Raw genomic sequence first — 11857 nt, forward strand, 5'->3', positions numbered from 1 at the left:
GAATGAAGCAATTTATTAACCCAGGATCATTTGTTTTAATGCTTCTTGTTGGCAGCTGCCACCTATCCAGTGATTCTGTCCAGATCTTTCTGACCCTGAGGTGTCAGTTTATGGCCCCTATCTTGGTCCTTTTCCACCATTTTCAGCCCCTCCAGGGCTTGGAGGACCCAGTGGGCCACACTCTTGGAGACTCGGCTGACGTGGCTGGGCAGGACACCATTTATCTGACATTCCCCATAGATCTTGGTCATGGAGCCAACCCCAGCGCCACCTTGGTGGTATAGGTGCTATGTTGTGGAAGCAGCTCATGTGTAGAACCACTTCTCATCTCAGAGAGTAAGCTCTTTGCGCTTGGCCAGTTTGGTGGTATCCACCCATTCAGGGACTTTCAGCTTCCTGGACTTTTTGAGGAGGGCTACCAGAGCTCTGATGAACTCCTGCTGATTCATGTCTTCTACAGTAACTCCAGGAATCATGACACCTCTGCGCTGCCAGCCAGGGGAACAGCTGTTCTCAAATTCTCAAAAGAACACTTGTTATTTTAAGCCACTAAGGTTGGAGGTTGTTTGTTACACAGCACTAGATAACCAATACACAACAGATAGCCCTTACACATCGATCTCACTGCACCCTGCAATCCAGACTTCCTTGTCTCCTGTGTCCTGTCCAGCATCTAGCCTGCCCAGTACTCAACTACAGCATCTAGCCTGCCCAGTATTCAACTGTGACACCATCCCAACCCCCTCAAAGACCATCCCCCACCCCATATTTCTCAATCACCTCCAGGAAAAAGGTTAAATCAGCCTGGTTTCTAAGTCTGTCCATAAATCTAATTCCGCAAGCATTTATTGCAAATTTTTGATATGTTTAGCTTAGTGTTTCATGCTGCAGGGAAAACACAAGAACTAGTTATTATAGTCCCTGTCCTTGGTGTTGTTGGTAAGATAGACTAATGTCTCTGAAACAATCAGAAGACAGTGCAGAATAGTTAATCAAAGGCTTGTGGGGTTGACAGAAAGTGTTAAGTGAGAGGTTGGAGAGCTCCATGTTGGCCAGAGGTGGGGAGCAGGGAGAAGCTGGGGCCTGGGTCAGTCCAGCACAGGCAAGGGAAGAAGGGTAGGGCCCAGACAAGCAGAGGGGCTGAGAGCAGAGGTCGGTTTAGGGAAACAAAGCCTGGGCCAGCTGAAGATGTAGAGGGCCTTGAAAGCCTGGTGGAAGAACCCAGCAGGTGGAGGTTGCAGAATTCACTGCAACCTCCGCCTCCTGGGTTCAAGCAATTCTCCAGCCTCAGCCTCCCTGGGTTATAAATTGGGTGGATTTATAACCCAAACCAGTGGGCAATAAACAGTGCTGTGAACCTATTTAGATCGATGAGATTAAAGGTAGGGAGTGAGATCGAAAGAAGATGGAGAGGAAAAGAAGGTGGGAAAAGAGATCGGGGCTGGGGCAAAATGAATTTGGAGTGATTTGCCATCACTGAGATGTGAGCACCTGAAGCTAGACAGCAGGAACAAAACCAGGGGCATTGCTCTGATTTGAGGCTGAACAATTGAGGTGTCACCCCCACCCCAGGCCTGGCAGCCACCTCTTACCTGGGGGAGCATAGATTCTATGAGACTGGAGTCAAGAGCAGGTCAGGCTCCTGCTGAGTCTATAGCAGAGGTGCTTAACGCTCTATGGACACCTGGGGAGATGTGTAAGTGCACTTGGGGGCCAATTTGAAGCACTTTAGCATAATAGTCTAGTGCAGAAACTGACAGACCACCTGGCTCTACCCCTCACAGACTGAGGGACCTTCAATCAGTCACTTAACTCCCCAGAGCCCCATAATCCTTATCCAAACATGAAGGTAATGAGAGTACCTACTCCATAGGGTTGTGGAGATTCAGCAAAATGAAAAGCACTTAGAACGGTTAACTTCTTTGTTATGCAAATGTTCTTGCACTGACCTGGGTTGCAGTTTAGGCATAAACATTTTTAGATTCCTGGGTACAGCCAAGATTAAGAATCAAAAATTCAGCCAAGTACATTGGCTCAAGCCTATAATGTCAGCACTTTGGGAGGCCAAGGCAAGAGGATCACTTGAGTCCAGGAGTTTGAAACCAGCCTGGGCAACATAAGGAGACCCCATCTCTATGAAGAATAAATAAATAAACAAACAAACAGAAATAAAAATGTAGCCGAGCATGATGGTGCTTGCCTGTAGTCCTAGCTTCTTGGGAGGCTGAGACGGGAGGATTACTTGAGCCCAGGAGGTCAAGGCTGCAGTGAGCCATGATTGCACCACTGCACTCCAGCCTGGGTGATAGCACAAGACACTGTCTCAAAAACAAACAAACAAACAAACAAAAATAAAAAACAACAACAACAGGCCAGGTGCAGTGGCTGGTGCCTGTAATCCCAGCGCTTTGGGATGCCAAGGTAGGAGGATCACTTGAGCCTTAGAGTTCAAGACTAGCCTGGGCAACATAGGGAGACCCCGTCTCTACAAAAAACAAAAATAATTTTTTTTAAAAAAAATCAGAAATCCACAAGGACAAAGAACTCACCCCCCCCCATCCTTCCTACCATCCTCCCTACCATCAGAATAGGAAGTTAAAACTATCACTTCAGACATGCTCTTTGATTCAGATGAAGGTGAGACTTGGCTAGATTATGGCTTTGACTCAGAACCATGGGCAAAGTTCATGGTTTGGGAGTTTCTGCAGGAAGCTTGGGGACGTTCAGCTGTTTTAGCTGAACTTGACTCTGAGTTCCAAGTCTATGAAATTCCAAAACTCAAAGCAAAACAAAGGCACCCTCAAGGTTAGGGATCATATGCTATCCATCTCCACCCCCTGGCACCCAGCGTGGCACCCACACTTGCTGGTTGGCTGGAGGAGCGAGGCAGGCCTTAACTCGGTTGGTGTACAGAGCTGACTGGTCTCAGATATGGACCACAGAGGGCAAATTTGATGAAACAAAGACAAAGCCATAAAGGAAACAGGCTTTGTGCCATTTAGGAATGCAAATTAGATTTTCTTCATTGCTGAAGAATTCTCATACTGCTAAACCAGGAATATTCAGACACCCACCTTCCACCCCCAGTTTAGGATATTTATGTTAACGGAAGACTCAGAGGGAGATGACTTTTTGGGTCCTTTGAGTTGGTACAATGCAGATACAGGTGCCATATTTAAAGCACACCTGAAACAGGTGGGCAGCCTCCCAACACCCTTCAGGCCAGTGCTTCTCAAACACTGATGCACACGCCACTCACCAGGGGAGCTTGTTCACATGCAGAGTCTAATGCGGTAGGTCTGAGGGAGAGCCTGAGATTCTGCATTTCTTTTTTTTGTTTTTTTTTCTTGAGACAGAGTCTCGCTCTGTCATCCAGGCTGGAGTGCAATGGCGTGATCTCGGCTCACTGCAACCTCCGCCTCCTGGGTTCAAGCAATTCTCCAGCCTCAGCCTCCCGATTAGCTGGAATTACAAGCACCCCCACCACCACCACGCCCGACTAATTTTTGTAATTTTAGTAGAGACGGGGTTTCACCATGTTAGCCAGGCTGGCCTCGAACGCCTGACCTCAGGTGATCCACCCACCTTGGCCTCCCAAAGTGCTGGGTTTACAGGCATGAGCCACCCCACCCAGCCGAGGTTCTGCATTTCTAACAAGCTCCCGGGAGATGGTGATGTTGCTGGCCCAAAGGCCAGCACGTTGAGTGGTGAGGCATCAAAGTCCACTTTGGGGCGGAAGCCAGCCCAGGTTTGGCGTATCGCCTGGACAGTAGCCCCGACTTGGGTTAAAAGAATTAACAAATCCCTGCCCACTGGTCACATATTTGTCATTTTTTCTGCCTTAAAAATATCCCCGCTGGGTGTGGTGGCTCCAGCCTGTAATCCCAACACTTTGGGAGTTTGAGGCAGGAGGATCGCTTGAGTCTAGGAGTTGGAGACCAGCCTGAGCAATATAGTGAGATCCTGCCTCTACGAAAAGTAAAAAAATAAAAAATTAGCCAGGCATGGTGGCATGCACCTGTAGTCCCAGCTACTCAGGGGGCTGAGGTGGGAGGATCACTTGAGTCTGGGAGGGCAAGGCTGCAGTGAGCAGTGATCGTGCCACTGCACTGCAGGGTGGGCCACAGTGCAAAATCTTATCTAAAAAAAAGAAAAAAAAGAATCCTTAAAGTTGAGAGTCTGAATAGTTTTAATTATCTAATGCGCTCACTGGATTTTTAAATTGTCCTTGTCACTTCTGGTGTGGTTTGGCATTTTGAGCTTTGCTGACTCTGAAATACTCTCTGTAACTGGGAAGGACATATCCATGAACACTCACCCTGCTTGCTGCATAATCAGGGGTCTCCTTGGGCTCCAGGGCTAGGACAGACCTCTGGGTTGATGATTTAACTCCAGGGCTGGTTAATAAAGGCCCAGCTGAATCTGGAGCCTTGCCCCATGTCTCACAGCTAGTGGAAGAGCCAGGAAGATCTGAGTTGTGTTTTCCTGGTATGCTGTTTGTGGTGGTGGTTTATATAATATCCTGCTTCCATCTCAGGGCACTGGTTTAGTTCAGGAAGCAAACTGGCTCCTTTTCAGGGACCAGAGTCCAAAGAGTAGCCAGTGATTATCTCAAAATGCCAGGTGAGAAGATGGGAAATGAATGTCTGGCCTCAGACATTTCACCCCACCCTGGGTGAGATCTATTAATATTACACTCTCTCAGCACCGCACTGAAAGCACTCTCACAGGGTTAACGAGAATGTCAAGCCAGGCTCTAGGCAGAGTTATAGCTAGGCACTGACCAGGGTGTGCTGGTGCACTTTGACCCACTTCCCTGCAGTTGCTCGCTAACCGAGAGTCACGTAGCACACGGACCACCTGCTCCCTCATTGTTCCTATAGAGAGAATCTGTGACACTGGACCTTTTTACTAAAAAATTGCTTAAGGTATTTTTCAGATCCTGCATTCCAGCAGAATGCCTGATGTCAACGAGTCTGCAGAACCCCAGCCCCAAGGTGCCAATCCAGCACAGAAATGTGATTCCTTCATCTCCTTGTCCCATAACTGCACGCATCACTTCTCGACCAATCAGCAATCCCTAGCTCCTCAGCCCCCTACCCACCAAAATTCACTTAAAAAGTCCAGTCTAAAACTCCTTAGGGAGGCAGATTTGAGGTTCCCTCCCACCCCCTTGTTTGGCTGCCATATGATTACTACACTGTTTCTCTGCTACAACTCCCACCATTTCTGTGTATTGGTCTGTTACTGTCCAATGTGCAGTTGAACCTGGTGGTCCTATAACAGCACCTCTTCTTAAAGCACTGTGTACCGTTATTTACAGTACAATTATTGATTAAAGTCTAAATGTCCCTCATTTAGACTAGAAGCTTCCTGAGGGCTTCTTTGTATTCACCATTGCATCTCCATCACTTGATGCAGCACATAGCAAGTGGGTGTTCAGTACACATGTGCTGAATAAATAAATAAATGCACAAGAGCCAAGCCTTATGCCATATGCCAGTCATTATTCAATTGTTTATATGGGCCGGGCGCGGTGGCTCATGCCTGCAATCCTAGCACTTTGGGAGGCACTTGAGCCCAGGATTTGGAGACCAGCCTGGGAAACATGGCAAAACCCTGTCTCTACAAAAAGCTCAAAAAATTAGCTGGGTGCAGTGGTGCACACCTGTAGTCCCAGCCACCTGGGAGGCTGAGGTGGGAGGATCTCCTGAGCCCAGGAGGTCAAGGCTGCAGTGAACTGTGATCACACAACTGCACTCCAGCCTGGGCAACAGAGTGAAACCATGTCTCAAAAAATTGTTTATAAATATTTACTCTTTCTATTATTACAAGCTTATGAAAACAGGTGGTATTATTATCCCTTTCACATAGAAGGAAACTAAGGCAGAAGGTGCGTAAGTAACTTGCCCATGATTGCACAGCTAATAAACGCCTAGCACCAGAGCCTATCTTCTTAACTGCTGCATGATTCATTGCCTTTAGACAATTGAATTTAGACAGCTGCCTGAAGAGTGAGGCTCAGGTGGCAAATAAAGCAACATGCGCTTGCAGAGCCCAGAAGACAGAAACATATGCAAGACCAAGGACACGGAAGCAGAGTGAAGAAGCAGGAAGACCAGTCTTGGCTCTGTGAACAAGGACACAGGTGCTGGAATCGGAAGACTTGACCTTTAAGCCATCTCAGTTTCTTCATGTGTGTCCTGGCCATGGCAAAACCCTAGCTGAAGAGATTCTGAGGTGACAAGGGGTGGGGAGTGATATTTAGGACTTGCAAAGAGAGGCCAGAAGGAAGTCAGGCAGCCTCAAGGGAGTCAGGGCCTTCTCCACCACCACAGCTGGGCTCAGGGAAACTGCTGACACACAGGCACACTAGTGACTCCAGGCCCTGCCCTCAGCAGCTTCCACATCCTCCTTGCGGGCACCTTGTCACCTTGTCATCTGCTGTCCCAGGGCAGCTCTCAGTCTCCCTGCCTGCTTCCTCCCGCCCAGTGCTTCTCACCTCTCTGACTTTTTATTTTATTTTTATTTTTTAAAGACAGGGTCTTGCTCTGTCATTTCACTCTGTCACCTAGGTTGGAGTACAGTGGCATGATCACAGCTAACTGCAGCCTTGACCTATTGGGCTCAAGTGATCCTCCCCTCTTAGCCTCCCAAGTAACTAGGACTATAGGTGTGCATCAACACGCCTGGACAATTTTTTTAATTTTTTATAGAGACTGGGCCTCACTATGTTGGCCAGGCTGGTCTCAAACTCCTGGGCTCAAGCAGTCCTCTCGCCTCAGCCTCCCAAAGTGCTGGGATGACAGGCGTGAGCCACTGCACCCGGCCTAATTTTGTTTTTTGGTAGAGACAAGGTCTCAATATGTTGGCCAGGCTGGTCTGGAACTCCTGAGCTCAAGCAATCCTCTTGCCTCAGCCTCGTAAAGTGCTGGGATTATAGCTGTGAATCAACCACACCTGGCCTCATTCTGACTTTTGTCCGAGGGACATCCTTCACGTTATTGTTCCTCCTGCTGAATCAGGCCTGACACCTTCTCACTTATAAGTGGGAAGCTCACTACTCTTGTGGTGCTGAAGGGGCCCTGCAGTGTGGTACCTTGTGTATGAAGTCAGCCATATCACCTCATAGAATTGCTTATACTGCCCAGAGTCCCCAGGAACCTTAACCTGTTCTTTGGCAGAAATATAGACATGGGTTTTAGGTCTGATGAAAGATGGCATCCAAACACAGGCAGAATCGTGTAGGCAGGAGGCCTCCGTTCAGACACCTAGAACTCTCAGCAGGCTGCTCCCTGAACTGGCTCTGTATCAATCGCTGCATTTTAGTTTGAACCCCAGCCTATGGTTCTCCTCTCCTGCAGTTAGCATTTTAGACTTTCTGTCTCTAATGTAAGTAAATACTTTTTGTTAAAGGAATTTGGGGCATCGTCAAGTACGTGAGGAGGCACATAGGGCCCAGGGAGGGAGGGATCCCACATTGCTCAGGCCCAGGGATACCCAAGCCTGTGACTGCGGGTTCTCACCAGCATCAGCTCAGTGAGTTCTGCCTCAGCTGTCCCAACACTAAGTCTCTACACCTGCCCACTCTGTTACAGACTGAAGCAGGGGAAGAAGTTGTGTCACCAGAGCTCTGAGCCAGAATTTTGGGAAAGATGGCAGATTGGTAAGGAAATAAATTGCTCAGTTTATATCACCCATCATTTCCTTTTTCAAATTGCAAAATAAAATAGGAAATAGAATAGAAAATTAAATAAAATATCCCTCTTGGTGATTTTGAAGGTAGACCAGTTCTGGTTTCCTGCCAGCGGAGATTACCCTTCCCCGTGGCACAATAGTCTCATTCAGCTTTTGGTACTAGAGTAACTATTTAGAATAAAGTCCGAGGTCCCAGCTAAGAACAGAGAATGAAGAAAAACTTACAAATTTCTTTTTTCTGCACATGCCATGCCATTTACAAACATGGCCACTTTGATGACTTCCTCACTGCTTTGCCCTTGAAAAAGGAGTTATTATAACATACCTTGCAAATGACAAAACCTGATTGTGTCCTTGTGCAAATGTCCCTGTCATGCAGGGGAGGTGGTTCCTCTGTGTGATTGGGGCCTCAGAGGCCCCTGCTTGTCACTGAGGACTCTGCTGGACCCCTGCTTGGTCATGGGACAGATGAGGGGGCATCCTGCTACATTTGCTGTTTTTAATTTCATGCTTTCATCTTTTCCTTATGGATCACGAGGTCAAGAGATCAAGACCATCCTGGCCAACATGGTGAAAGCCCATCTCTACTAAAAATACAAAAATTGGCTGGGCGTGGTGGTGCACGCCTGTAGTTCCAGCTACTCGGGAGACTGAGGCAGGAGAATCACTTGAACCCAGGAGGCGGAGGTTGCAGTGAGCCAAGATCGCACCACTGCACTCCAGCCTGGGTGACAGACCAAGACTCCATCTCAAAAACAAAAACAAAAACAAAACAAAAAAGAGAGAGAGAGAGAGAGAAATGTGTTCTCTTTTACCGAAATCAGCATTTCCACTCACTGTGGAAAATATTGGAAGAAATATTTGGAAGAAACATTTCTCCAGAAAATATTGGAACTCCAGAAAATATTGGAAGAAAATTCATTGTATTTCTTTTAAATTGCAATATTTAAATTATCATTAAAGAACTAAACCATGTTCATTATTGAAAATTTGGAGGAAAAAGACTCCCCATAATCTCATCATCCAGAGACAAATTATTCATAATTTAGATTACCAAGATAAACCCCTCTAGGTTGTGATGTATTATCTTTTTATTTATATTGCTGAATTTGACTTGTTAATATTTTGTTAAGGATTTCTGCATCTATGTTCATGAGGAATTTGGGCCTATAATTTGATTTTTTTTTGTAATATCTTTTTGTAGTTTTGGTGTTAGGGTATCATTGCCCTAATTAATTGAGTCAAGATGTGTTTCTTCTGCTTTTATATTCTGGGAAAGACTGTAGAATTGGCATTATTTTTTCCTTAAATATTAATAGAATTTACCAGTGAAAACATTTGGGCCTAGAGTTTATTTTGTCGGAAAGTTTTTAGCTACAAATTCAATTACTTTACTTGTCATAGATGAATACAGAATTTCTGTTTCTTCTTGAGTTAGTTTTGGTAATTCATGTCTTTCATAACCGTCCCCTAAAATCCTTTTAATTTGTTTTAAATTAGTAGTGATGGCCCTCATCATTATTGATTTTGATCATTTGTGCCTTTTCTTTTTTTTTTCTTATTTAGTCTAGCTAAAGGTTTATCCTTTAAAAATATTTTCATACTTTTCATTCAATTAAATTGATTTTCTGTATTGTTTTTCTGTTTTTATTTTACTGATTTCTACTATAATTTTTATTCTTTCTTTCCTTCTGCTTACTTAGAGTTTCATTCGTTTTCTTTTTTTAATTGCTTAAAGTGAAAGCTGATTTGTAATATTTTAGTAATTTTTTTCTTTTTTGATATAGGTGGTCAGTATTTATGAGCTGTGCTAAACGTTGGTTGGTCTGGAACTCCTGGTTTTAAGCAAACATTTTTATTTACTTTTTATTTATTTTATTTTATTTTGTTTATTTATTTATTGAAACAGGGCTTTGCTCTGTTGCCCAGGCTGGAGTGTAGTGGCATGATCACAGCTCATTGAAGACTCAACTTCCTGGGCTCAATTGATCTTCCCATCTCAGCCTCCCAAGTAGCTGGGACTAAAAATGGACACCACCATGCCTGACTAATTTTTGTGTTTTTTATAGAGATGGGGTTCCACCACGTTGCCTAGGCTAGCCTTGAATTCCCCAGCTCAAGCAATCTGCCTGCCTTGGCCTCCCAAAATGCTGGGATTACAAATGTAAGCCACCATGCCTAGCAGCTATTTTAAAATTTTATTTTAGTAATGGTTGCTCGACAGATGAATATATACATCTTACCTTGTCACAATCTACTTCAAGTTAATACTGACTTAGTTCCAGTAAAATATAACAACTTTTCTCCACTATAACTTTATTTCCACCTTCCTTTATGTGATTGGTATTTAGATGTTACACATATATGCATTACAAGTTTAAAACTGAGTTGTAATTATAGTTTTACAGAATGTTATGTTTTTCAAAGTAATCATGATAAGAAAAGATCAATGTTTATATATCTTTACATTTATCCACATATTTACCATTTCCTGCATTTTTTATTTCTTTATTTTTTGTAAACAGGTCAGTTAGCAACAAATTATCTCATTCTTTCTTTATCTGGGAATATATTTTACCTTCATTATTAAAGATTAGTTTTTCTAGATTTTGAATTCTTGGTCAACAGTTTTTTGTTTTTTGTTTTTTGAGATGGAGTTTCACTCTTGTTGCCCAGGCTGAAGTGCAATGGCACGATCTCAGCTTACCACAACTTCTGCCTCCTGGGTTCAAGCAATTCCCCTGCCTCAGCCTCCCAAGTAGCTGGGATTATAGCCATGTGCCACTATGCCTGCTAATTCTGTATTTTTTAGTAGAGATGGGGTTTCTCCATGTTGGTCAGGCTGGTCTCGAACCCCCGACCTCAAGTGATCCACCCGCCTCAGCCTCCCGAAGTGCTGGGATTACAGGCATGAGCCACCACCCCCAGCCAGTTTTTTTCTTTTTCTTTCAGCAATTTGAATATATCATTCTACTGTCTTTTGGCCTCCGTGGTTTAAAGACAAGAAGTTGACCATTAATCATATTGTCCCCTTGTATGTGATGATTTGTTTTTCTCTTACTAGATTTAAGATTTTCTCTTGTCTTTGGTTTGGCTTCCAGTGGTTTGACCATGATGTGTCCAGGTGTGAATGTCTTTGTATTTATTCTACTTAGAGTTTCTTGAGCTTCTGGAGTTTGTGAAATGATTTTTTAAAGTCAAAACTGGGGAATTTTCATCCATTATGTCATTAAACATTTTTCTTTCATTTTTCTGGAGTCCCCTTCTGGGATTCCAATTACATGTATGTTGGTATGCTTCATGTTATCCCACCAGTCTCTGAGGCACTGTGTATTTTTCTTCTATCTTTTCCTCTCTTTTTTCCACACTGAGTAATTTCTAATGATCTATCTTCAATTTCACTGACTCTTCTGTGACCTCCTCTAGTACTTTTATTTTTGCTATTATTTATTGCAACTCAGAATTTCCACTGGGTTCTTTTTTAAAAAATAATTTCTGCATTTTAAGTGAGATCATCTATTTGTTGAATCATTGTCATTACACTGATTTAGTCATTCTTAAGCATGGTTTTCTTTAGTTCTTTGAACATATTTATAATAGCTGCTTTGAAATCTTTGTCCAATAATCTAATTTCTGGAACCACTCATAGTATATATTTGCTTTTTTTTCCTGAGTATGGGTCAGATTTTGTTTCTTCATGTCTCATAACGTTTTTTGAAAACTTGACATTTTAGATAATATACTCTAGCAACTCTGGACTCTGATTTCTTTTCCTGAGGCAGTTATTATTGTCTTTATTTGCTTTCCCAGAGGTAATCTGCAGAATCTTTGCCTCCTGCAGTACATGGCCACTAATGTCTCTGCTCAGCTTTTTTGTTTTTAAGTCTTGTGTTTAACTTTCAGCCTGGCCTTCTAAGAGTAGTCCCTGTAGCTTAGTTTAGTGGTCAGCCAATGATTGGGCAGAGGCTGTGCTCAAACACCTTAAGCCTACAAGATCCATCCTCTGCTAATGGATCTGTGTGTGGGATGAAGAATACATTTAAAGTTCACTCTGTTTTCAAGTCTGCCTAACTTTTACTTTTGTCAAGGCACTCGTGGCTTTCCCCTGTGCATATGCATAGTTTCCTGGTCATTCGGGGTCTGTGGAGAGATTTCATAG

The 11857-nt window shown here is 43.9% G+C and overlaps 1 pseudogene, besides 2 other annotated features; it reads right to left on the reverse strand.

Annotated features, from left to right (window-relative positions):
- RPS19P5 (ribosomal protein S19 pseudogene 5) lies at positions 1–504 on the reverse strand (annotated as a pseudogene).
- Positions 3117–3618: an enhancer, noted in NCBI's record as "H3K4me1 hESC enhancer chr6:110886459-110886960 (GRCh37/hg19 assembly coordinates)". NCBI's record gives its function as "activates a minimal SCP1, AML or CMV promoter by ChIP-STARR-seq in primed H9 embryonic stem cells {active_cell/tissue: H9 hESC(primed)}" and the evidence as "EXISTENCE:reporter gene assay evidence [ECO:0000049][PMID:30033119]".
- Positions 3619–4118: an enhancer, noted in NCBI's record as "H3K4me1 hESC enhancer chr6:110886961-110887460 (GRCh37/hg19 assembly coordinates)". NCBI's record gives its function as "activates a minimal SCP1, AML or CMV promoter by ChIP-STARR-seq in primed H9 embryonic stem cells {active_cell/tissue: H9 hESC(primed)}" and the evidence as "EXISTENCE:reporter gene assay evidence [ECO:0000049][PMID:30033119]".

The sequence above is a fragment of the Homo sapiens genome, chromosome 6 (genome assembly GCF_000001405.40).
Source record: "Homo sapiens chromosome 6, GRCh38.p14 Primary Assembly".
Lineage (NCBI taxonomy): Eukaryota > Metazoa > Chordata > Mammalia > Primates > Hominidae > Homo > Homo sapiens.